Here is a 25907-nt window from a genome sequence, read left to right as displayed (position 1 = left end):
ATCATGCATATCTTTATTACTCTGGCTGATGTCAGAGCCTATTGAGAACACCAAATGTGTAATAATGATTAAATGCACTGGTCTTAGGCATTTTGCAAACTTTTGAATATGTTAAACCTGTAGCTTTACACATGTTCCATATCCATTTTTTTTTTCTCATGAAGATACATTTATTAAGGTAGGAAGACAGGATATGTTTTATTTGACAATGGATTTATAACTTCCAAGTCTTTAGATACGTGATAGGTGGGTCCGTTTATATTCTGGCCCTGGACCCTCAAAATGTTTCAGCTGTGCTGGAAGCGGGCTCTATCTCTCCTTTCTGCTCCTCTCTCCATCTGCAAACCTGTTCTCCCAACGTGGTGGGTGCAGGGCTACTACCAGTGTTCAGCTTTGCATCGGCGACCCAAAGACAGCCCATCCTTCGCAGCTGTAGTCCCAGAATCCCAGGGAAAGGACTCGTGATTGGGCCAGGTTAGGTCAGGTGACCACTTGGACCAATCCAGAGTGCCATAGGGTAGACGCATACGATACCCTTGGTTAAATCATAAAAGGGATGGTGATTTCTAGACTAACCATCCCTTCACTGTATATTATACTTTGACAGAATGTAATTCCTTTATTTGAACAGACCTCTCTTTTAGTGGTTTCAAGTCATGCATTCACTTAATGTTTCTTTTCTTATTGTACATAATTTCCAGAGCTAAAACTTTCCAAACCTAGGTTACAAGGAAGACAGTCCTATACCCCAATTTGCCTGATTTATGCCTGCTGTCCCATTGTAATTATTAATAGTGCCACTTTCCATTCAAAAGTATCCTGGTTTGGATAATCATTCTTATGATGCCCCTGACTGTAAGTGAAAGTTGGTGAGTGTGAAAGTTCACTTATATCCCTGTTTGGTCTACATGGCGCCTTCCTCCCAGTCCCAGCCATCATTTGGACCCAGCAACTACTAGAGGCCAAGCTGTGTCCTAGATGTTGGAGATATAGTTGAGTAAGACAGTAACCCTTTCCAGAAGGAACTCACAGTCCTAACAGGGGAAATTGTACAAATTAGGTCATGATACAGCCTAAGAAATCTGGGTAGGAACAGAAGAGCAGGGAGTGGCTCTGCCTGGGGAGACTGGGAAAGACCGCAGAGAGGATGCAACATTGGACCGGGTGACGTGAACTTCCCAATTGCTGACTTTGGCATATTAGAATATACCTCTTATTTTTATTAGCTACATAATCCAAGGCTAAGATGTTTGTTATTCATAAAGCCCACAGATGATTACTGACTTGGGAGAATCCCATCAGAGATGCCTTTATGACAATGAAATCAGGCCACTTCATCCCCAGGGTGAGTCTTGGAGTAGGCGTCTCAGGTGTGCATGCAGGTATCAGAAGAAAAGAGGGGGAAGTGCTTGTGCTATATGTGAACACCAGAACATCCTCAAGTCCCTGGCAGAGGGAACTGCAGGATTCCAGAGTCAGGACTCCCTGATGCTCTAGAAGGAGCTGGAGTAATGACCAGCTGTAGAGTATTCAGTCAGGACACGTGGGCTCCAAAACCAACACTGCTGCCTACCCCCAAGCAAAGGATTTAATCTCTCTGGCCTTACTTTACCTGGAAAAGGAAAGCGTGAAACTAAGTCATCTACAGTGTTTTATCCAGCTTTACAGTTTTGATATGTTGTATAGTGGGCCAATTACAAATTCTTAAGTTTTCTCTAACTGATTAGCCAATTTGAGAAGATTCAGAAAAACCACAGTTCATTTAAAATAGTTTTTCCTTTTTCATGCTTTTGATATAACCACAGAGGCTTTTATACTGATAAAGACTTGTCAAAGGATCTCTGCATTTTGAATCCAGTGTGGGAGATGTAGGGATAATTAGAGAAACCAGCCAAGGAACGCTGGCCAGTACAGGTGCAGTGGCTCATCCCTGTAATCCCAGCAATTTGGGAGGCCGAGGTGGGAAGATTGTTTGGGCCCAGGAGTTCAAGAGCAGCCTGGGCAGTACAGCAAGACCCTGTTGCTACAAAAAATTAAAAAATTAGCCAGGCATGGTGGTGCACGCCTGTAGTCCTGGCTACTTGGGAGGCTGAGGTGGGAGGATCACTTGAGCTCAGGAGTTCGAGGTTGCCATGAGTTGTGGTCATGCCACTGCACTCCAACCTGTGCGACAGAGCAAGATCATGTCTCAAAGCCAACAAACAAACACATAAAAACTGGCCAGTGGAATAATACAGTTTCTGGCTCTTGCTTTCCCCATACCAGACTGTCTTGGTCACGAGAGCTGAAATAATTTCATAATGTAAACTTTGCTGTTTTTTCCTGCCTCTTTAGAGTAAAAAAGCAAAACTCAGAAGCACTCTCAGGAAAGCTTTTCAAATTCTTTTTTGTTCTCTGGCTCCCAGTGACAAATACTTACTCTGTCTTTAATGTCAAAAGTTGGAGGCAAAGCTTTGCACTATTTGATCCTTCCAGAAGCACAGCTGGGAGAGCAGCTGTCCCTGCAGAGCTGCTTCCTCTTGCTTGTTGGTAGAGCTACAATCAGCTTTGTCTAGGGTTTCTTTCTGCTGGATCTCTCACTCCTCTCTCTCTCCACTTTCTCCTGCCCCAACCCAACATAAACAGCTCTTATGTGTTTATTGGCCACTTGTATTTCTTTTCTTTTTTATTATTTATTTATTTATTATTATTATTATTTTGAGATGGAGTTTTGCTCTGTCACCAGGCTGGAGTGCAGTGGCACAATCTCGGCTCACTGCAACCTCTGCCTCTGGAGTAGCTGGGACTACAGGTGCGCGCCACCATGTCCAGCTAATTTTTTGTATTTTTAGTAGAGATGGGGTTTCACCATGTTGGCCAGGATGGTCTCGATCTCTTGCCCTGGTGATCCACCTGCCTTGGCCTCCCAAAGTGCTGGGATTATAGGCATGAGCACCGCGCCTGGCCTTTTTCTATTTTTTGGAAACAGGGTCTGCAGCCCAGGCTGGAGTGCCATGGCATGATCATAGCTCACTGCAACCTTGAACTCCTGGGCTCAAACGATCCTCCTGCCTCAGCCTCCTGAATAGCTGGGACTACAGGTATATGCCACCACATCTAGTTATTTTTTAAAAACTTTTTGTAGAGATGGGGTCTTGCTCTTTTGCCCAGGTTGATGTCCAACTATGGCCACAAGCAATCGTCCTGCCTCAGCATCCTGAGTAGCTGGAATTACAGGTGTGCACTACCACACGCAGTGATATGGTTTGGATGTGTGTCTCCTCCAAATCTCACGTTGAAATGTGATCTCCAGTAAGTTGGAGATGGGGTCCAGTGGGAGGTGTTTGGGTCACGGAGGTGGGTCCCTCATGCGTGGCTTGGTGCCCTTCCTGTAGTAATGAGTGACTTCTCGCTCTCTTTGTTCACATGAGAGCTGGTTGGTTGTTTAAAGGAGCCTCACATCTCTCTCCTCCTCCCTTCTCTCTTGCTCCCTCTCTCATCATGCGACGTGCTTGCTCCCTCTTTGCTTTCTGCCATGACTGGAAGCTTCCTGAGGCCTCATTGGAAGCAGATGCCAGCACTGTGTGTCTTGTACAGCCTGCAGAACCATGAGCCAGAGAAGCTCTTTTCTTTATAAATTACTCAGCCTCAGGTATTCCTTTATAGAAATGCAAAATGTATTAATATACACCCAGCTAATTTAAAAAAAATTTTTTTAGAGATGAAGTCTCACTATGATGCCCGTGCTGGTCTTAGAACTGCTGGGCTCAAGCAATCCTCCAACCTCAGCTTCCGGAGTTGCTGGGATTACAGGTGCAAGCCACCAGCTTGTATTTCTTTGTTGAACTGTCTTCATGATCTTCAGCTGTTGCTTTCAATGTAGTAAGAAAGATTTGAAACACATTATTTTGTGGTTCATAAATGTGAAACACACTTACAGTTTTTCATGCTCATGTGTGAGATATCCATCCTTTAAACCTTGTTACAATGTTGGCACATTACCTGTCCGATATGAGAAGGAAAAAGAGAAATATTTGAAACACACAAATAATATAAATAATGATACACAAAAACTACGTGAAGGAAGCAAGCTTCACCAATGCAGTTGGAGTCCTCCGTGCACTCTCCCCCGATTCCCTGCCATCCCCGAAAGATAACTGTGGTCCTAAGTTTTGAGATCATATGGCCCATGCATCTCTTTATAATTTCACTATAGATGTACGTTTCTCTACCATTTCCTTGTGCTTATGGATGTATCTGTAGCAATTTGCATCATTAGAAAACATCCTCTAGAGCTACGCTTAGGATGAAATAGCTTAACCGCTATAGCTCACTACTTATGCTAAAGACCACAGACTCTTCAGCTCCCCCATGTAATGGAAATTAACACGGGGCCAAGCAGATTTCCCAGACATGGCTTTATTTTGGGGCTTGTACTCAAGTAGAAAGGAGACAGTGGAGGTACAAGGATTCTCCAGGTAGCTCACTGGGAAGAGCCAGTAGGGCTTTTTTAAATCAGTCAAAGCACGGGACTTGGCTTCGGGGGAAGGGTGTGCAGGCTGGGCTGGGCGAGGCACCTAAGGGGAAGGGTGTGCAGGTCAGTGCAAGGGGAAGGGCGTGCAGGTCAGTGCACCCTACCTGGTTGTGATGGCAGGGGCTACCTGGTGGTCTGGCCAGCAGCAACAAGGCTGTACATCAGTTTTTCAGCATTCCTTTCTAGGGTGGGACATTCTGAAACCTTGGTTCAATATTTGGATCTCCTAAGGCCAGTTTCTGGAATTCTTTAAGTAAAAGGCCTATTTAAACATTATGATAGCACAGAAGAACACTACAGACTGGCTACTTTCCTTGTATGACTGAAGCCTCAGTGTTGGCAGGCATAGTGTCAGTGAGGTGGTGGTGTGAGTTTTGTGATCAATGGGACAAGAGAAGAAGAAAAAAGAGAAAGTATGTGAAGGAGGAGCCACATCCCACTTTTATTCTATCCCACTTATTCTAGTTTTATTTTATTTTTTTAATTTTCACTATGTTGTTCAGGCTGGGGGACAGTGTTTATGGAGGTTGTTCACAGGCACAATCCCACTATTGATCAGCACAGGAGTTTTGACCTGCTCTGCTTCCGACCTGGGCCAGTGCACCCCTCCTTAGCCTGGGTGACCCCTGCTCCCAGGAATTCACCACATTGATACTGAACTTAGTACAGACACCGGATCCGCATAGCACATTCCAGCCCAGCATGCCTGGGCTCAAGCGATCTTCCCGCATCAGCCTCCTGAGTAGCTGGGCCTACAGGCACACCCAGCCTTCTACTTTTTTCAATCATAAGTGTAGATTGTTCATTTTTTGTTTAGGAAAAAATATATTGGTGACTGGCAAAAAGACGATTCTCAGACCATCACATAGGAGACAAGGGTCATGATGTCTATGTAACAGAGATGAGAAACAGCTTCTGCTATGAAAACCTTTCTCTACACTCTTTTTTCAGTGTTACAAGAGTCTTTCCAATACAAGAAAAAGAAAAAGGAACGAGATGGTACACAGAGCACCGACTATATAAGCCTGTCTGTTTCCAGCTCATTCATTCATCCCATCCATCCAACTAAAAAATGTTTATGGAGAACCCACCATAAGTGCCTGGTGCTGAGCTAAATGCTAGGGAACAAGAATAAGAAAGACACAGTCTCTGCCCACTCATAGCCAGATTAGGAAATAGACAAGTAAATAATAATAATGACAACAATAATGATAGCTCCTGGTTGTTGAACACTTACTACTAGCCAGGCAGTGTGCTAAGCACTTATTTATGTTATCTCATTTAATCTTCATGTGATATGCATGGAATGGGAAATAAAACAATACCTGTGGGCAAATGGATGAAGAGAAAACATAAGAAAATTACCTGAGATCAAATGGTGAAGCTGGGATTTGAACCTAGGCAGTCCGACTCCAGAGCCTGGGTCTTTACCAGCTTCACCTATTGCAGAAGAAATGAATAATTGTGATCAAGTGAGATAAGAGCTAGGACACAGGGGCAAGAGGGACCACGGGACACTGACATCCTGCAATCCTTCTTTGAAAGTGCAATCTTAGCTCCCTGTAGCCTCGAACTCCTGGGCTCAAGCAATCCTCCTGCCTCAGCCTCCCGAGTAGGCAGGACTACAGGCATGCACCACCATGCCTGGCTAAATTTAAAATCTTTTTTTTAATACAGATGGGGCTTGTCATGTTGTCCAGGATGGTTTTGAACTCCTAGTCTCAAGCTATCCTCCCACCTCTGCCTCCCAGAGTGCTTGGATTATAGGTATAAGCCACCATGCCTGGCTTAGTATACTTTTGTTAGTTTTGTGTTAGAGCATTATAAATAAGCTAGTTATAAAACCTGGGTGAAAAGGCATCCACCAACTTGGTAACTCAGGGCCACAGAGAGATCACTGATGTCAAATAGGGTGGTTCTTTGCCAGGTGTCACTTGGCAGATCCCTGATGGGCTGAAGAGCAACAGAGGAATTTCTCTTTTCAAAGTGACGTGAGGGGCCGGGTGTGGTGGCTCACACCTCTAATCCCACGCACTTTGGGAGGCCAAGGCGAGTGGATCACTTGAGGTCAGGAGTTGGAGACCTGCCTGGGCAACACGGCAACACCCCGTCTTCCACTAAAGATACAAAAACTAGCCAGGCATGGTGGCACGCGCCTGTAATCCTAGCTACTTGGGAGGCTGAGGGACAAGAATCGCTGGAACCCAGGAGGCAGAGGTTGCAGTGAGCCGAGATCGTGCTACTGCATTCCAGCCTGGGTGACAGAGGGAGACTTCATCTCAAACAAAACAAAACAAAACAAAAAGTGACGTGAGGAAAGCAGCCAGATTTGTATGGTCCAGCCAGACCTTAGGACTATTGCCTCGGTGTAGTGTCAAAGTGCCCAGCTTCTCAACAAACAGCTGGTTAAAAATCATGAGAAGCAAAAGACGGCAAATTAACAAAAGAGCAAATCATGGAAGGTTTGAGTGTGAGGACACGTGAACAATGGGGAAATAACATCTGTTGTCCATACTGTGGGGTGTGGCTACGAACCCCTCAGAAGAAGAGTGAGGAGAAACTTTCTGCAGAAACCCCCTTCCACTTTCTTCATGCTTCAGTCCTTTTCTGGACAGACCTCTTACCAGGAAGTAAGGATTTAACATTCAGTTGCTAACATGTTTAGATGATGGCAGCAGACCCCTAAGTCTACCGCCTCCTTGCAAATGGGCTTGGATTACCGCAATTTACAGGAACTGTTCTCTGTTTCAAATTAGTCAGAAAAATTACCCTAGCCTCAGCCTCTCAAAAGGAAAATTGCACTTGTACTCAGGTCCTGTGCCTATGCGCATCAACTGTGATGGACAGCACACATCCAGCCCTGTAAATCCAAGTTAAGTCTCTGTTGATACCTTGCAAATGGACATACTTGCTTCTTTCCCTTTGGGAGCAATCAACATTAAACAGTGGACTCTCTTCCAAGCAAGAACTATATCCAGAAGGCGCCTCTGTACCAAAATTCAAGACGTTTAAAATGTAGAGGTGATTTTTCTGGAAGAAAGCTTTACAATAGGTATAAAACTCCTTAAAAATGTTTACTCCTTTATTATTAGGTAGAACTCTTTGGGTGGCAAGAAACCTATTTAAGCTAACTTAGGCAAAAGGAGTGAATTTCCTGCAAGGGCACAGCCTGGCCTCAGGCAAGGACAGGAAGTGGATGTCTGTAGAGAAGCCAGGAACTTTGAGTCTATCCCTCAAAATCTCGTTTCAAAAGAATAGGATTCTCTCTCTTTTTCTCTTTCAATCCCTGCTGCGCAGAGATTGTCTGGCCTGTCTCTGAGTCACAGTTTCAGGTTCCTAAGCAAAGTCCCTTAATTGGCCCTGGCCTGTTCCAAGGGAATCAGGGTTGCATGGTACAAAACCAGCCCTGCTCACACACTGAGGAGAGGGAAGTGGAGTTCCAAGAAAGGTGGGTTTTCCTAAGGGTCTTCCTTCTGGTGTCTGTAAAAGCCCCCAAAAATAGGTTTGATTAAATAAATTATGTATCCTTTTATTTGGAATACTACATGACTTTAATTAGAATATTGAACAAAGTTAGAAAAATATTCATAATATTATTGATTGAAAGGGGAAAGTTACAGTGTAATATTTATTTTTATTATATAAGGATAACTTTCTCATATAAAAAGAATTGTATTATTATTTTTTGTATATATACAGGTATGTGGAGAAAAGACCAGAAGTGTATCTAATAGGATGTTTGCAAAATTATATTTTGTTTGTGTCTTCTCTATTTTGCACTTTTTTTTTTTTTTTTTGAGCTGGAGTCTCCCTCTGTCGCCAGGCTGGAGTGCAGTGGCACAATCTCAGCTCATTGCAACCTCCGCCTCCTGGGTTCAAGTGATTCTCCTGGCTCAGCTGCCCGAGTAGCTGGGACTACAGGTACGCGCCACCACACCGAGCTAATTTTTGTATTTTTAGTAGAGATGGGGTTTCACCATGTTGGGCAGGCTGGTCTTGATCTCCTGACCTAGTGATCCACCCACCTTGGCCTCCCAAAGTGCTGGGATTACAGGCGTGAGCCACCATGCCCAGCCTGTTTTCCACATTTTTAATGACATTTATTATTTTGATAATCAGAACAAAGTTAATTTTTAAATTAACTGACAAAATTATCTGAGATGTAAAGGAAGAAAACTCATAATTTATGTTCTGCATTTGATATTTTATAATTTTTGTTTTCTAATCTTAAGAGACAGGATCTTGCTCTGTCACCCAGGCTGGCGCGCAGTGGCATGATAACCGCTCACTTCAGCCTCCAACTCCTGGCCTCAAGTGATCCTCTTGCCTCAGCCTCCCAAAGTGCTGGGATTACAGGTGTGAGCCACCACACCTGGCAAATACTTTATAATTTCTGAAGCCAACATATAAACAAATACAATAAAGGTTACCTAAATAAGTGCTTCTTTTTAGAAATAGCTTGGAGAAAATCATTCAATACCTCTTATTTATAGTTTTGTAATGTTCTTTTTAAATGCTTCTTACAATATCTTGAAAGTTAAGATCTTTCAAGGAAAGATTTTGAAAAGTGTCCTGGCCTGAAGTCTTCATGTTTTAGAAATCAAGTTTTTAAAACATCTTAAAAAGCTGTGTCTTTAGTACTGGGTGCAAAATTTAAACATTGCCTGCAATTCCGGAATAACAATAATCCTAACGATAGATATGATTGAAAAAGTTGGCCAGGTTCAAAAGAGAAACTTCTTCGGGGGAAAATGGCCATCCCATCGTTCTACATCAACCGCCGGTTTTTCTTTAGGGTGAAGTGAGAGGCTTGAGGGCAGGGAAGCATCCAAAGGGAATTTCTCAGTTGGTAATTTCCTAGCAGAGAGGTTGAGTTAGGTGCTTCTTCCTCGATATGGTTCGGATCTGTGACCCAGTCCAAATCTCATGTTGAGTTGTAACCCCCAGGGTTGGAGGTGGGTGGGGTCTGGTGAGCGGTGATTGGATCGTGGGGACCGTTTCCCATGGTCTAGCACCACCCTGCCTTGTTACTGACATCCGGTTGTTTGAAGATGCACGGCCCCCACACCCCCTTTCCTCTGCTTGCTACGGGTCTGGCCATGTGAAGTGCCTGCTCCCGCTTCACCTTCCATTACTTTCCTGAGGCCTTCCCAGCCATGCTTCCTGGGCAGCCTGCAGAACTGTGAGCCAATTCAACCTCTTTTCTTTATAAATTACCCAGACTCAGGCGTTTCTTTATAGCCTTTCGAGAATGGACTAATAAATACATCCCCTTACTTAGCCAGCACTTGAAGTTTCAAAAACGAGGATCAAGCCGTTCCTGGGAGCATCCTATGAGACATTTGGACACAGGTTTACTTGGAGTCTCGGAGATATGACGGAATCTGGAAAAGTCAAAGGAAAAAAAGCCAAGGTGAATCAGATAATTATGTTATTAAATCTCAGGAGAGATGACTAGTGTGTCAACACCAGGGCAGAGCTTCTAGAAGCTTCTAGAAGCCTTTCCCACCAGCTACCATCAGTTTCACTCAAACTGTTACCCACTCCCACGTCTACTGGTAGTGGAACCTGCTCTGGCGCTGCCTTCCACTCATTTCTACCTTAACCTCTGATCTGACCCCTCCCCACCCTCTGTCCATGGACCTAGCCTTCCCCTGGCTTCTGCTCTTTTCTGTCTGCTTTCTTGTTGACGTTTTTTTTTTTTTTTTTTGCTTCCCTGCTCTGGATTGCTTGATCTCAGGCTCGATTCGGAAAGAAGTGATACGTAATAAGACAAAGTGATAATGATTTTAAAAGAGCTATATCAAAGTTGCTGTGGGAAAGCCAAAAGGACCCAATTATTTCCACCTGAGGTGGATAGCTGTGCGGCAGTTATGTATGCGGCGGCTATGCCGAGGAGGTGTGGAGAGTATGGGACCGCAGAGGCGGAGTAGAAATGTGCCAGGTAGCCAAGGACCTTCCCAGCAGAGGCAAAGTTGGGAGGAAATGTTCAGAGAGATGAACGTGCCTAGTGTGCTTGGGATGGCTTGCAGATGCAGCTGGAAAGGAAGTGAGGGGCAGAGGGGCGGGTCTTGCCATCATCCTCAGGAATTTGGACTTCATTCTCTGTATGTAGACTGTAAAGCATGGGAATGATTTGACTAGAATTAGAAAGATCATTTGCCATCAACACCAAGGATGGCTTAAAAGAGGGCAGGTTTTGCTCCTGCCCCTGACGTGGTTCCTCTCTGCAGCCTTAGCCCTCTCATGCCTCAGTCCCATCCTTAACTGCGACCACATTCCGTGGTTGTCCTGGGTCTCTCTCTCTCTTTTTTTTTTTTGAGACAGAGTCTCGCTCTTGTTGCCCAGGCTGGAGTGCAGTGGCGTGATCTCGGCTGACTGCAAACTCCACCTCCCGGGTTCAAGTAATTCTCCTGCCTCAGCCTCCCAAGTAGCTGGGATTACAGGCTCCCGCCATCATGCCCCGCTAATTTTTTGTATTTTTAGCAGAGACGGGGTTTTACCATGTTGGCCTGGATGGTCTCAAACTCCTGACCTCAGGTGATCCACCCTCCTCGGCCTCCCAAAGTGCTGGGATTACAGGCGTGAGCCACCGCACCCGGCCAGGTCTCTCTTGTTTTAGTTCTTTCACTGACTGTATCTGTTCTCGTGGTTTCAACCATCATCTCTGCACCATTTCTAGTGCTAGCTTCCCTGCCAACTCTAGTCTTGCATTTCCAGTTGGCTACAAATCCTCTGTACCTGCATGGATCATCAGCCCCTCAAACTCAAATTGTGTGCAGCCAGACTCTTCAAATCCTTCCCCCAGAAATCAGTTCTTCCTCCTGACTCATTTCTGCTCCTTGTTTCACCATTCTCCAAGTTATCCAAGCTTAAAACTGGACAGCGGTGACCTCTTCCTTTTCTTTGACTCTTATCTTTAACCCATGCCCAAGCTCTGTCGAGTATTTCTTTGTGATATCTGACACCTGTATGTTCCCAGACCTACAACCACCATCCTACTTGAGACCTGTTCTTTCTTGTATAGAAGCAACAGCCTCTTACCTGGTCTCCTGTCTCTGGTAGCTCTCCTGGGTCATCCTATTTTGGTACAGTTTCTAAAAAACTGTTCTGATTATATAGTGCCATGTATAAGGTAATATTGAGCATAATGAAAATTACCCTTAAAAATCTCTTAAGGAAGGCTGGGCATGGTGGCTCATGCCTATAATCCCAGCATTTTGGGAGGCCAAGGTGGGCTGATCACTTGAGGTCAGGAGTTCAGGACCAGCCTGGCCAACATGGTGAAACCCCGTCTCTACTAAAAATACAACAACGACAACAAAAAGAAATCAGCTGGATGTGGTGGCACATGCTTGTAATCCCAGCTACTTGGGAGGCTGATGCAGGAGAGTCGCTTGAACCCAGGAGGTGGAGGCTGCAGTGAGCTGAGATCGTGCTATTGCACTCCAGCCTGGGAGACAGAGTGAGACTCTGTCTCAAAAAAAAAGAAAAAAAAAAGAAAGAAAAATCTCTTAAGAAGATGCTATATTAAAATCTAACAAACTATGTCTCCAGAAACCCCACAACAACAGAACGCATTTCGTAGCTGAGCACGGTGTCATGCACCTGTAGTCTGCGCTGCTCAGGAGGCTGAGGTGGGAGGACAGCTTGAGGTCAGGAGTTCCAGGCTGTAGTTCGCTATGTTTCGACCTATGAATAGCCACTGTGCTCCAGCATGGACAACATAGCAAGACCTCATCTCTAAGAAAAAACAAAAAGACACATTTCTTGTCTCTAGCAGGGGAATAGATTGTGCTTTGTTCTGTTAAATACCAGATAATGTAATTGACCTGCATTTGGAAGGCCTTTTTGGATAAAAGGTGTATTTTTAACACTCCCTCCATGCAAGGCAAACAAGAGCTGAAACCCACTAAGAGACTAACAGCAGATTTGTATGTCCTTACCCATGTTCACTTCAGGCGTGAGCTTATGTAAAGTTCTTCTGTCCCTCTCCTTTAAAAAACAATTATCAGGCTGGGCGCGGTGGCTCACACCTGTAATCCCAGCACTTTGGGAGGCTGAGGTGGGTGGATCACCTGAGGTCAGGAGTTCGAGACCAGCCTGGCCAACATGGTGAAACCACATCTCTACTAAAAATACAAAAACTAGCCAGGTGTGGTGTCAGGCACCTGTAATCCCAGCTACTCAGGAGGCTGAGGCAGGAGAATTGCCTGAACCAGGGAGGCAGAGGTTGCAGTGAGCCGAGATTGGCCATTGCACTCCAGCCTGGGTGACAGAGCAAGACTCTGTCTCAAGCAAAAACAAAAACAAAAAATAATCATTATTATTACGTTTGCTTTTGCTGAATGTATGTAATCCAATGGGTGGAATTAAGTGCAGATATGACAGCACTAAACAGTGATTCAGCTGTTTGGGCCGGCGTATCCACACGTCCATACTGAGGCCCTCCCCAGTGCCAGTCAGGGCTGAGTGGGAAGAGAAGGAACCTGGGGCCTGTCCCCCTGAATGCTCAATTCAGTTGAAAGTCCAAGGATTCAGAAGCTTCTCAGTTCAATCCAGGACACCTAGGTCTCTGTGAAGGTGTATTTTTCAAGTCAAGTTAGTAACTTCTAGATATTTTGACACATGGTATAGGACCCTCTGTTTATATTCTTGCTTTGATCCCACACTGAATACATAGCATGTTTTCCTGAATTGGAGGGAGAAGCAGCAGTGGGGGCTTTCCCACACACCTGCACAGTGCAAACAATTTCAAATTGTTGGGAAGGCCTGCGGCCATTCTCACTGTCTCTCTCCAAGTCTCCTGGGCTCCTGCTGTCTCCTTCTCCCAGGCAGTCTCATACTGTCCTACAAGTAAATCCCAAATGCTTCTTGCTTTCTGAAGTAGAGAATTCCGGTGTCTGCCTGGCACCTGTTTTCTAGCATCTGCTACTTAAAGTGTGGATCACAGGCCGCAATAGCAGCAGAATCAGGAAGCCTGGTGGAAATGCAGCCTCTCAACTGCCTGTGAAGCAGCATTTCCTATTCCTTGGAGCCCTAAGGAACATAGCGGGGAAATGCTGGCAGAGAAGCAGTGGATGCTATAGGAAAATGTGAGACAGGGCAGGCAAATAGAGGAGCAAAGCCCGGGCCTTCAACCTTGAAGAAGGATAAGAACATGGAAAAGAAATGCTGAGAAAAGCAAAAACAAATCCAGGACAACAATGAAAGCCTGAAAGAAGAGAGTTTTCCTCAGGGGACCAGAACCACCACAGCCTCCTGTCTCATTCAGCAGAGGCACTGAGGAGGGTGAGAACCAGAGGAAGACCCTACCTAGGCTTGGCAATCAGGAGGCAGAGTGAAATATGGAGGTGTGTTGAGGGGAGGGCCTTGGCTTGAAGGGACAGAGGGTGGGAGGAGAGGACCAGAGTCTGGAGGTGGTGAGAAAAATGGAATGGAGGGGAATCTGTCCACTTTGGAGAGACAGAGGAAAAAGGTAGGAAATGCCCCATGTGCATTTGGATGACAAATGGACAATACTGGTTTCTTTCCAGCCAAGCTGCCCCAGAGAGGCAGAAGGAGAAAACATAGCCAAGCAGCTCCGGGCAGAGGGAGAGAACATAGCCTGGAGGTGGAGGGGTAGCTTTGATCTCTTCCAAGGCACAAGGACCTGACCCTCCTAAAATAGCCCAGTGCTACCTCACACCCCTCTGCATCAGGCTGCAGTGTCCCCTGCTGGCTTCTGTCCTGTTGGACCACATCTCTGATCCTTCAGAGGTGCCCCCAGATAAGCCACAGGAAGTCCCCAGAGTGCCTTCTGTCCTTCTCAGCCTTCCTGGGCTAAGTAAGGACATGCTCACATTTGGAGGAAGATAGGACAAACCCCAGGGCAAGAGGTAGGTGCCATCTGAGGGTCTCTCTGGTGCCATCTCCCTTGCCCAAGGTGCTGAGACCATAAGAATCCTGGGGCAGTAACAACTCTCAGGGCAAGCCTGGTCACTTCCAACCCAGCATTCTTGGAACCCAGCCCCTTTTACTGTTGTTGTCTGATAGGTTTTTCTTGCCTGATGCATAGATAGAGCCAATTTACCAGGACGGCAGTATTGTAACAGAGAAATAGTTGACTAAATGGAGCTGGCTAAGCAGAAGACCGGGGGTTTATTACTCAAATCAGTCTCCCCCCAAAATTCAGAGACTGAGTTTTTTAAAGAATGATTTGGTGGGCAGGGGGTGAGGGAATGGGTGCTGCTAATTGATTAGGGATGAAATCACAAGGGTATGGTCTTCATTGCCTCTCTAGATGGGGGCCACAGGGCCCAGTGGGGTCAGTCAGTTGTCAGAAATGCAAGTTAGAAAAACAACTTAAAAAAAATCTTAGGTTCTACAATAATGATGTTATCTATAGGAGTAACTGGGGACGTTACAAATCTTTTGACTTCCAGAACAGTGGCTGGTTCCATTTAACTATGCCTACATCCCTCTCATGATCCTAACCTTGTGGACTTTCATTAGTTTTATAAAGGCAGTTTAGTTTTGGGAAGGGTTATTATCATCCTTGCTTTAAGGTTAAACTATAAATTAAATTCCTTTCAAAGTTAGCTTGGTCTATACCCAGGAATAAACAAGAAAAGCTTGAAGGTTAGAAGCAAGATAGAGTTAGCTATGTTAGATTTCTCTTACTGTCATCATTTTGCAAAGGCGGATTCATTGCCTCCAGGCACTCAGCTCTGCTCTCCACTCCCTCCCTGTTGCTTGGGCTGGCGGGCTTTCACCCTCCTACTCTCAGCCTCCCTTCCAACTATTTCCCTGGACTGCTCGCTCCTTCTCCCCACACAGCTGGCTTCAAATCTAAATAAAAAAACTTAACCTAAATAAAAAAAATCCTGCAGTGGTTTTTTTTGGAATTACTATCCCATTTGACATATGTAGAAACTGAGGCACAGGAGGTAGTCTGTTGGCGTCACACTCCAGAACACTGGTGCTGGGGTTGGAATGCAGGTGGCTGGGCTCCAGAGCCCCCTCCGTGCCTCTTTGAGGAGACACTTTCCTCCTCAGCCTGAGAACTCCTCCACCACGCACAGGCATAAACCTTCACGGCTGGGGAATCATTTGCCCAGGGAAGGGAGGGTACAGAGGTGCCCAGCAGAACACAGAGGTCAGCTGTCCTTTTCACCACATTTCTAAACTTGGCCACAGCAGCTAAGTGGCCACCCAGGATACTTTGGATTTATATGTGCTTGGCTGTGTCTGTAGGAGAAAAAGAGGTGGTTTCGCTTTTTTTTTTTTTTTTTTTTGAGACGGAGTCTCGCTCTGTCGCCCAGGCTGGAGTGCAGTGGCACAATCTTGGCTCACTGCAAGCTCCGGCTCCTAGGTTCACGCCATTCTCCTGCCTCAGCCTCCCGAGTAGTTGGGACTACAGGCACTCGCCACCACGCCCGGCTAATTTTTTGTATTTTTAGTAGAGATGGGGTTTCACCATGTTAGCCAGGATGGTCTCGATCTCCTGACCTCGTGATCCACCTGCCTCTGCCTCCCAAATTCCTGGGGTTACAGGCGTGAGCCACCGCGCCTGGCCCATTTTTGGTTTTTAAGTTTCACAAGCTTAGTTGTGACCATCATGAGGCAAACACAGGAGAGTCAGAAGATGTTGTGGTGAGATAAAGCCAGTTCTTCACCCCAAAAGGAGTGGAGCCAGGGAAGCAGATGAGGGAGCAATAGAGGCAGCTTCTGACTCAATGTGGACCCTCAAGGTCTCCGCCATTCCACCCTCCCCGCCCACACTTCTTCTCCTGTGAGTACCCTGTCCCGGCAGTCGGAGCGATCCCTGGCCCCATGCTTTGTCTCTTCTCAGGGCTGAGAGACTCTGCCACCTCTTTCACACCATTCTTCCCCTACCATTGTGCTAGGTGAACCTTCTTATCCTTCACCCTTTGTTCTTTTCCTCCTACAAGAAAGTTACGCATTTCCTCTGCGGAGCCCACTGTGCCTTCTGCTTATTTCCAATATAGCCTTTATCTGCCTTGTTATTATGCCACCCAGGGCAGAGAGAACGTCTTTCCATCCTAGGGCGTGGTCCCTGGCTAGGGCTCCACCCCCAGACCCATGGCTACAGACCTAGGTGAAGACAGGGATTTTTGTTCTCCTGCCCAAATGTTGCATTTCCCAAGACCACCCTGGCCTGCCACGTCCCTATCCTGTGCGTATAAAAACCCTGAGACCCTAGCAGGTAAACACACAGGCGGCTGGATGTTAAGAGCACGTTGACAGGTACCGGCAGGCCGGCAGGCCACTGACCAGCAGAACAACTCAGAGTTTAGCTGGGGTGGTCAGAGAAGAGTTGGCCGCTCAGTAGCCTGACTCCAGGGGAAAACCTTCCCACTCCATCCCCTTCTGGCTTCCCCCATCTGCCAAGAGTTATTCTCACTCAAAAAACCTGAACTCATTCCCCAAGTGCAGGTGTGATCTGATTCTTCCGGTACACCAAGGCAAGAACCCCGGGACACAGAAAGCCCTCTGTCCTGGCGATAAGGCAGGGGTCCAATTGAGCTGACTAACACAAGCCGCCTACGGATGGCTAAACTAAAAGAGCATCCTGTAACACACGCCCACTGGGGCTTCAGCTGTAAACATTCACCCCTGGATACTGCCATGGGGTCAGAGCCCCTCAGCCTGCCCATCTGAATGCTCCCCTAGAGGTGTGAGCAGCGGGGCACTGAAGAAGCGAGCCATACCCCATTGCATGCCCTGTGAGGGACAAGGGAACCTTTCCCGTTTCAGAGGGACTTGCTAATGCTTCTTCTTTTTTATTTTCTTTTTTCTTTTTCTTTTTTTGAATCTCACTCTGTCACCCAGGCTGGAGTGCAGTGGTGCGATCTTGGCTCACTGCCACCTCCGCCTCCCGGGTTCAAGCCATTCCCTGCCTCAGCTTTTCGAGTAGCTGGGATTACAGGCACGCACCACCATGCCCGGCTAATTTTTGTATTTTTAGTAGAGACAGGGTTTCAACATGTTGGCCAGGCTGGTCTCAAACTCCTGACCTCAAGTGATCCACCCACCTCGGCCTCCCAAAGTGCTGGGATTACAGGTGTGAGCTACCACACTGGCCCCTACTAACGCTTCTTAACTCTGCTGTGTATATACTGCTTAGAATGGACATATTCTTTGGAGCAGGAGTTTGGAGAATGTCTCACAGCTTCGTAAGCGTTGAAGACAGACACCATTCCTCCCTGAGGCTGTGCCATCCACCAGCGTCTTCTCCTTGATGAACAGGGAAGAAGAGACACAACACTAGAAGGAAAAGGGAGTTCTGGCACAGTCCTGGTGTTTGTCTATCCTTCCGAGACTGGCTCTGGGAGTGTGTGGATGCATTTTGGCTCCATGGTGAATGGCTGTTGGAGGGAAAGGGTAGTGTGTTGAGATTCCTGCTCTGCCACCTGTGAGTGGTGAGGCCTTGGGCACGCACCTGACCTTGTTGAGATTCTGCTTTCTTACTTGTAAAATACTTTCTTCATAGGGATGCTATGAGAACAAATGACAGGCACCGTAAGGATTCAATGGATGCTTGCTTTCTTCATGGCACTTAGCACGGTCTAGTGATTTTGTCTGTGTGCTTTTCATTCTCTGCCTCATCTATTAGATGATACGCTTGATATGAGCTGGGTCTTATGCTCATTGTTGTTTCTGGGAGCCTAGCACAGTGTCTGGCACAGAATGAATGAACCAACGAACGAATGAATGAATGAACAAATGAATCAGTGTGCATTGAGTAACATACTGTGATAGTACACTAGTTTGAGATTCCAGCCTCTGAGTTTTATTCTCATCGCTAACACTGATACATTCCCTGAGCTTGAGTAAATCGCTTTTTCTCTGTCTCTAGACTAGTTTCCCCAACCATTAAGTGAAGTAAATTTCACCTCTTTCTTCTTAATAGGAGTATTATTAGGACCTATGTGCTAACGTGTCCAAAGTACTTAGTGCTTCTCAGATGAAAGTTTCTATTAAGTAGGTACGATTAACCTCAGGGAGTTCCTTGATTTTCCCCCAAATACAGGATACATGGCAAGTGTGGTTTTTGCTTTTTCTGAGGAAATCGGGAGATTTTGCAACCATGGATCCCACCTAGCGATTGTTTATTGATATAGGAACATAACTAATGTTTCTGAAATGTAGCTTCCTTGATTTGGTCTCTATTTTATGATGTTTTCAAAAGAGCTTAATCAGAGCCCTCCATATTTCTGTTTGTTGGCAACAGGAGTGCCATGTCGCTAGGAAGTTCACATGGGCATTGTGGAAGGTGACAGCCGCTGTAGGTGCCAGACCCAAAGGGAGAAGGGGATGGGGACAACATGTGGCAAGGAGATTCTCTGGGTTCTGCCTGTCCATGGGTGGGCACACTGCCACCTGCGTCATCAGGTGACCTCCTTGCAGCAGCTGCTCAGGGGTTGCCGGAGCTGTGTGACTGTTGTCCTTTTGTGGCAGTCAGCACCCACAGTCTGCTTCCTGCTGTGGCCATGGCAGCAACAGTGACCATAGCATAGAGCAGAGGGGATGCGGTAAAGGTCGGTGAGATGGCATTTAACCCAGACCTTCAGAAATTGGTAGAACTTGGACAGGTGGGCCTGAGGAAGAGCAGCTTTCTAACCAAATGGCCTGATGCAAACCAAAGCACAAAGGTCGCAATGAAGATGGACTGTACCCGGGGCTTTGGTGATGTGCTGTCACTGGTGATGGCTGGTGAAGGCCAGAAAGAGCTGCTGTCTAAATTAATAACAAAAATAAAGACACCCAACCAGAGAGTCTGTGAAAGAGGAGGAGGTCAGCAGAGGGGCGCAGGGTGATTGCAGAGGAGGAGGCCTGCAGAGGGACGCACGTTGATTGAGGAGGGGGAGGCTGGTAGAGGGGGGCAGCGTGATTGGATAGGAGGAGGTCTGCAGAGGGACGCAGGGTGATTGAGGAGGGGGAGGCTGGCAGAGGGGGGCAGGGTGACTGGAGAGATGGAGGCCAGCAGAGGGAGAGCAGGGTGACTGGAGAGGGGGAAGCCGGCAGAGGGAGGGCAGGGTGATTGTGGAGGGGGAGGCCGGCAGAGGGGGGCAGACTGATTGAGGAGGGGGAGGCCGGCAGAGGGGGGCAGACTGATTGAGGAGGGGGAGGCTGGCAGAGGCAGGGCAGGGTGATTGAGGAGGGGAAGGATGGCAGAGGCGGGGCAGGGTGATTGTGGAGGGGGAGGACGGCAGAGAGAGGGGCAGGGTGATTGAGGAGGGGGAGGCTGGCAAAGGAGGGGCAGGGTGACTGAGGAGGGGGAGGCCAGCAGAGGAGGGGCAGGGTGATTGGAGAGGGGGAGGCCGGCAAGGGGGGTGGAGAGGCAGGGTGATTGAGGAGGGGGAGGCCAGCAGAGGGGTGCAGATTGGAGAGGGAGTAACCTGGAGTTGGGAAGGCCAGGCACACCAGATAGACAATTAGACCTGGAATATGCTAGTGGCAGTGGAAGAGGAAAGAAAAGGACGGCATACTTTGAAGACCATTGCAAGCATGACATAACTTTTTCCTCGAGTAGACCTGCAGTATGAAGCCATGAGCTGAATTATTAATACAACATGACATTTGGGGGCCAACTTGTAGGGGAGATGCCCTCCTCCATCCACCTCTCATTCATTTAAAAAGGATTAACTGAAGGCTCCCCTGAGGCTCTGGCCAGTGGTTTTCATGGACCCGAAGGTGGGGAGCCATCTGAGAGGGAAGGCTGTCCTCCCTTACTTCTCGTCTTGCAGAAACTTCACAGGCAACTGTTTTCACTTTTCTATATTTGTTCCCATTCTTCATAACATCTTGGTATTTTGATATATTTCAGGTTAATGGAATTCAAGAACATAAATTCAAGCAGGGACGATATAGTGAAAACACTACTATCTCCATAAGTCAGTCTTTTTAATTGCCTAAAGTTTTAACCAAGTCCCGGAGCTTTGGCTAATGATGAAAGAGGTAACAGAACAAACTCAAGTCTCTTGTCGAGCAGATGGAGCTGGTGGATTCCAGGACACTCCCCAAGGGAGCCAGGGATGACCATCTACGGATCTCAAAGTGGCAACATTTGCAAACCAGGACCCAGGAGCCAATTTAACAAATGTCAGGGCAGCCTGCAGAGAGGAATGGAAGGAAGAAACATGCATTCCACATCTGGGAGTGTTTAGAAGTTGGAAACCGATCATTTAGAAGAAGACAGAGAGGAATTCCCTTTATTTCTCAATCAATAAATCATTGCCACATAGTTTAATAGCCTCCTCTCCGTTGGCCTCTTATTTTTAAATCTCCCTCATCCTCCCTCTCTCTAACTGCATTTATATATGGTTATTAAACCAAAGATTTATATGAGTTTGAAGCCATTTCCACATGTATAGTGTGGAAATGTTGGCATTATTCTTCCCAGGACACCAAAGTTTATGTGAGGTCAAACTATAAAGGAGACAAACTGTCTTTTTTGTGCCTGCCCTCCCTCTGTCTCCAGGGAAGAGCTCTTTTGGGTGGAGGTGATCATGAGGACTTCCTGGAGGAGGGGGCATTTGAGCAAGTTCTTAAGGATGGGATTACTGTAGTTAGAGATAACCAGGTAGGAATTCCAGGTGAAGGGAAAAAAGAGTAAATAACTGATTTTAGAGTTGTTTACAGGTATACCTTGTTTTATTGCATTTCACTTTATTATGCTTCGCAGGTATTGTGTTTTTTACAAATTGAAGATTCACGGCAACCCTGCATCGAATGAGTCTATCGGTGCCATTTTCCCCAAGAGCATGTGCTCACTTTGTGTCTGTCAGCACTTTTTGTCAATAAGGTCTTTTTAAAATAACATGTGTACTTTTTTAAAAGACATAATATCATTGCACACTTAATAGGCTATAGTATAGTGCAAACACAGCTTTGATAAGCACTGGGGAACCACAAAATTTGTGTGACTTGCTTTATTGTGATATCTGCTTTATTGCAGTGGCCTGGAACTGAACTTGAATTATCTCTGAGGTATGCCTGTATATTTTTATAGAGACTAATAATCTTAAAGGCCTGTCTAAATGTAAACATTCAGGTAGGTAGAAGATGTTTATTGTTTTTGAGAAGTTGTTTAGCATTTTTCACAGAGCAGTTAAGCCTGTTGTCTTTGCTAAGTATGGTATAGACGGCAAGAAGGGTCCAGCTTTGAGCCTCATGTGAGTCACGTGGTTTTGCCTAGAGAAGACGATTGTGTTCCAGGCTGTAGATGCAGAGTGCCCCAGACCCAGCGTCACCTGACTTGGTGATGAACCAGTGTCTCAGGGAAAACTCTCTCTACAATTGGAAAAATAATCCAAAATATTCAAAGCACATTTTATACCGAGAGTAGTTTGGAACATCATCTTCTCATCTTCCCTTACTTGCCCCGGCCCTCCTTTGTCTTGCCCATGAACACTGCTCTCCAATTACGCAGTGACTCCCCTAAAGAAACCAAGGCTCACTCTCATGCATTCCCGTGCTGTACTGGTGTCGGGGGTGGGGGGAGCAGAGAACAGTCCCATTGCAGGGCAGCATCTGGAATAACCAGTCACAGATGCAGGCCTGAGTCATCGTCTTCTGGGAGCCTCGCCTGCATCCCTGCTGAGGGCCCACGCAGGGCAGGCCAGCTTGATCTACTGCCCATTGCCCTGCCAGGGCTCAGGGCGTCAGAAGACTTCCCTCCCCAAGCTGCCATGTGTTTGCCACAGAGCATGGTACTTCACCAGCAGTTTGGCAATGGGCTCACGCAATGTTGGAGCTGGTCTCTCAGCTGTAAGAAGCAGGCTAGGACGCTGCCCTATGGCTTCTCCATGGCCTTGCAGGGCATCTCCGTGGAAGAGAACAGGCTCACAGATGACTTTTTTGGGACAGCAAATTCACTCGACACCCATTTGTACCAAGGACCTACTTGGCATTCAGCTGTGTGGTAGGCACTTTGGGATGGGTGACAAAAAAGAAGGGAAGAACCTGCCCTTATCTTCAGCTAAGATAAAAGACCTGAAATAGCCATAGATAACACTGAGGGACCGTACATGCACGTAGACATGATGAATACAACAGTTGTAAGTGTTGAGTGGACACAGTCAGGGAGCTGGGGTGGCTGGCATGTGCTGAGGGAGGGGCCTTCGCATATGTCACCTCTGTCATTTGACGCTACCCTAAAATGTGGATAGTTACCCCATCTTAAAGAGGAAGAAACTGAGGCACAGACAGGTATTGAGCAGAAGACTTTTGTCAGCCATACGTCACCCTTAGCCCGCCTCTGTGGTGCGCAGGTGGGTGGTGACCGTGCTCCACTTCCAGCACACCTCACTTCACTGTTTCAGGGCTTTTCTCGAAAGCCTTTGAGTCTTGTCAGCCCCCAATGGTGCCCCCAGGGCAACCTTCAACCATGGGGAATAGGAGTTGAGTCAACAGATAGAGATCCCAGCCTCCCATTCTTTGGGGGGCCAATTCTGAGGGGCTTTGAACACGGTTCACAGAGAGTGCCCTGTGTGACTGATCTCCAGTAGCCCACAGGAGCAGTGGGCTCAATGACACATAGTTGTTTGATTTTTCCTACTTCCCACCCCTCATTCCGGCTTCCCTGGATCACTTCCCAAATTAACTACACATATCCAAGTCCATATCATAGTCTCTGCTTTTAGGGTAGCCCAAAGTAAGATAACAGGCTAAGGAGCTTGTTTAATGTCATCTATGAGGCTGCAAAGTGTCTGAGCCAGGACATAAACAAACCTAGGGCTTCTGCCTCCCACCAAGGTTCTCTGTGCCTTGTGTGACCTTGTCTCCCTGGAGGGGAAATTTCCCAAGAGTGCTGAGTTTTTTGTTTTTTTTTTTTTTGAGACAGAGTCTTGCTCTGTCACCCAGGCTGGAGTGCAGTGATGCTATCTTGGCTCACTGCAAGCTCCGCCTCCCGTGTTCATGCCACTCTCCTGCCTCAGCCTCCCGAGTAGCTGGGACTACAGGCACCTGCCACCACGCCTGTCTAATTTTTTGTATTTTTAGTAGGACAGGGTTTCACTGTGTTAGCCAGGATGGTCTCAATCTCCTGGCCTCGTGATCTGCCTGCTTTGGCCTCCCAAAGTGGTGGGATTACAGGTGTGAGCCACCGTGCCTGGCTGAGTGCTGGGTTTTGAGCCAGACCTTGAAGAAAGTAATGGATGTCACTGGCATGGGAGAAAGAGACAGTGTTCTGGGCAGCATGAAAGACTGGATCAGAGGCACAGAGGAGAGACCCAGAAAGCTTTGAAAAGGACAGCAAGAGGCAGGCTCCCTGGACGTTGGCTGCACAGAGGTGAAGGGAGGAGGTGACAGATGAGACAGCGACCGCTCCGCTCTTACCAAAGTCACCCGCAGCTCCTGAGTCATGAAATGACACGACACTAACAATATCCGGGATATGATGAGGTGGTGCAGGGCAGAAAATGGATTTGAGGAGGCTGGGACTCAAAGGCAGTGATACTGGCTCTTGTCCTTATGAACAGTTGTCCACCAGGTCATTCTGATTTCCTCTGAGGCAGCGAAGGGTACCCTGACACAAGTTTTGTTTTAAGGCATCCTTGTTTGTGCTCCTGGATTGCTGGAGGCTCCGGTCTGGTAACCTGTCCGTGAGTCATGACAGGGAGCAACACTGTATTCAAGGGTGGTACATGTTACCCTAGAACACTGGTACAGTTACCCCCGTCTTAAAGAGGAAGAAATGGAGGCAAAGATAGGTATTTAGCAGAAGATTTTTGTGAGCCACACCTTACCTTTTAGCTCACCTCTGTGGTGGGTAGGTGGGTGATGACGGTGCCCCACTTCAAGCACACCCCACTTCACTGTCTTGGGGCTTTTCACCAAAACGTTTGAATCTTGTCAGCCCCCAGGCCTCCCAGGGATGCCCCAGGGAAACTTTCAACCATGGGGAATGGGAGTTGAGTGAATGGATAAAGATCCCAGCCTCCTATCCCACCAATTTCAAAGTGTGGTCCCAGGACCAATAGACCAGCATCATTTAGAAACTTGTTAAAAAAAAAAACGTTCTTGGCCAGGCACGGTGGCTTATGCCTGGAATTCCAGTGCTTTGGGAGGTCGAGGTGGGAGGATCGCTTGAATTTGAGACCCATGTGGGCAACATAGCAAGACCCTGACTCTATTAAAAAGAAAAAGGAAAAAAAAAAAGGATTCTTGGTCCCTACTGGGCACCTACGGAATCAGAAACTGTCAGGGTGGCACCCTGAACTCTGATTTAACAAGGCCACTCTGCCATGCTTGAGCTTCGGAAGCACAGCTCAAGGAGCTGAACGTCTCTGCTGGTGTGTTCTATTTTAGCTGCTGTCTTCATCCTGTTGTTCTGAGTCCTAAAGTACTCCTTCAAGCCAAGCTGGGAAAGAAAACAGAAGTTAGTTCTTTGATAGCAAGTTCTCATTAAAACATAGACAAAACATCTAACTAATAGAAAAATGTCTAACTAATGGACAACATCTGACTAATGTGATTTCACAGTGCCTGTTGCAGAGGAGATGCTCAATATAATGTCAATTTCACTTTTCTAAGCAGGGAGATCAGATAAAATGTGAGAATATGGTAAGCACAAATGCCAAAGAAACAAATATAGAATTAATTATTTTAAACAATAACATGAATTTCTACAGGAAGTCACCAGTAAGACATGAGTAGAACAGACAGCATTTCCCTGTTGATGTGCCCTGTGAACAGCCAGGAGTGCAGACAGATGGGGAAGACCGTCATTCTGTCTTTGAGGGTGAACAGGTTGGGCTCAAACAGGGTGTGGCAGTTTTCTTGTAGAGGTTTATTTCTCTTCCTCGAGACCAGCCGGCCTTGCTGTCTCTCTCTCTCAATAAATTTTTTTTTGTTTTTTTAGAGACAGGGTCTTGCTTTGTCACCCAGGGTAGAGTGCAATGACATGATCGTAGCTCACTGTAGCCTCAAACTCACAGGCTCAGGCAATCTTCCTGCCTCAGTCTCCTAATTAGCTAGGACTATAGGTGTGTGCCACCATACCTGGCTAATTATTTTATTTTATTTTTGTAGAGATGGAGTCTCACTATGTTGTCCTAGCAGGTCTCAAACTCCTGGCCTCAAGCAATATTCCTGCCTTGGCCTCTCAAAGCACTGGGATTAATGGATTTTTTAAATGGGGCTGGCCTAGGGAGAAGAGTTCCAGGGCTATGACTGTTAGCCAAGATGTCAGACGTGTAATGGGAATGTTGGCCATCACTTTGGGTATTCTATTGTTACACTGACAAGTTAGTGCTATATTTGACTTGACTTCCAAGTAAGTGACTTGGAAACTTTAATAAATTGTGCCCTTAAGGTCAGTTTTTAATATCATTATTATTACATCCAATAGTTAACCTTAGACACATCAATCCAATGTTACAGATTT

The 25907-nt window shown here is 46.6% G+C and overlaps 3 long non-coding RNA genes and 2 pseudogenes across 4 annotated transcripts, besides 3 other annotated features; 2 read left to right on the top strand and 3 right to left on the bottom strand.

The window, feature by feature from the left end:
- Positions 1-1201: 1201 nt before the first annotated feature.
- Positions 1202-10023, bottom strand: LOC105373167 (uncharacterized). 2 transcript variants are annotated; one of them, XR_949264.3, is made up of 4 exons: positions 9791-10023; positions 5879-5953; positions 3918-3981; positions 1202-1612 (listed from the first exon to the last, which is right to left on the bottom strand). It is a non-coding gene; the product is annotated as an uncharacterized LOC105373167 (long non-coding RNA). The 2 variants fall into 2 exon arrangements; XR_001738519.2 differs by lacking the exons at positions 1202-1612; positions 3918-3981 and adding an exon at positions 3771-3850.
- On the top strand, positions 3882-3991 carry LOC124904844 (uncharacterized; annotated as a pseudogene).
- RN7SL837P (RNA, 7SL, cytoplasmic 837, pseudogene) lies at positions 4996-5282 on the bottom strand (annotated as a pseudogene).
- LOC124904547 (uncharacterized) lies at positions 8943-20768 on the top strand. The gene is made up of 3 exons (XR_007066938.1): positions 8943-9695; positions 9795-9926; positions 20346-20768. It is a non-coding gene; the product is annotated as an uncharacterized LOC124904547 (long non-coding RNA).
- Positions 10670-10844: a silencer, noted in NCBI's record as "fragment chr1:231024325-231024499 (GRCh37/hg19 assembly coordinates)". NCBI's record gives its function as "represses an EF-1alpha promoter that drives an FKBP-Casp9 reporter gene in an ReSE screen in HepG2 liver carcinoma cells {active_cell/tissue: HepG2}" and the evidence as "EXISTENCE:reporter gene assay evidence [ECO:0000049][PMID:32094911]".
- LOC101927604 (uncharacterized) lies at positions 20408-24577 on the bottom strand. Its single transcript, NR_110681.1, has 3 exons — positions 24268-24577; positions 23858-24117; positions 20408-20631 (listed from the first exon to the last, which is right to left on the bottom strand). It is a non-coding gene; the product is annotated as an uncharacterized LOC101927604 (long non-coding RNA).
- Positions 21683-22182: an enhancer, noted in NCBI's record as "H3K4me1 hESC enhancer chr1:231012987-231013486 (GRCh37/hg19 assembly coordinates)". NCBI's record gives its function as "activates a minimal SCP1, AML or CMV promoter by ChIP-STARR-seq in naive H9 embryonic stem cells {active_cell/tissue: H9 hESC(naive)}" and the evidence as "EXISTENCE:reporter gene assay evidence [ECO:0000049][PMID:30033119]".
- Positions 22183-22684: an enhancer, noted in NCBI's record as "H3K4me1 hESC enhancer chr1:231012485-231012986 (GRCh37/hg19 assembly coordinates)". NCBI's record gives its function as "activates a minimal SCP1, AML or CMV promoter by ChIP-STARR-seq in naive H9 embryonic stem cells {active_cell/tissue: H9 hESC(naive)}" and the evidence as "EXISTENCE:reporter gene assay evidence [ECO:0000049][PMID:30033119]".
- Positions 24578-25907: the final 1330 nt, after the last annotated feature.

The sequence above is a fragment of the Homo sapiens genome, chromosome 1, assembly GCF_000001405.40.
Source record: "Homo sapiens chromosome 1, GRCh38.p14 Primary Assembly".
In the NCBI taxonomy this organism is placed as follows: domain Eukaryota; kingdom Metazoa; phylum Chordata; class Mammalia; order Primates; family Hominidae; genus Homo; species Homo sapiens.
Note: the sequence above shows the minus strand (reverse complement) of the source record. Positions and strands in the feature narration are given on the sequence as shown.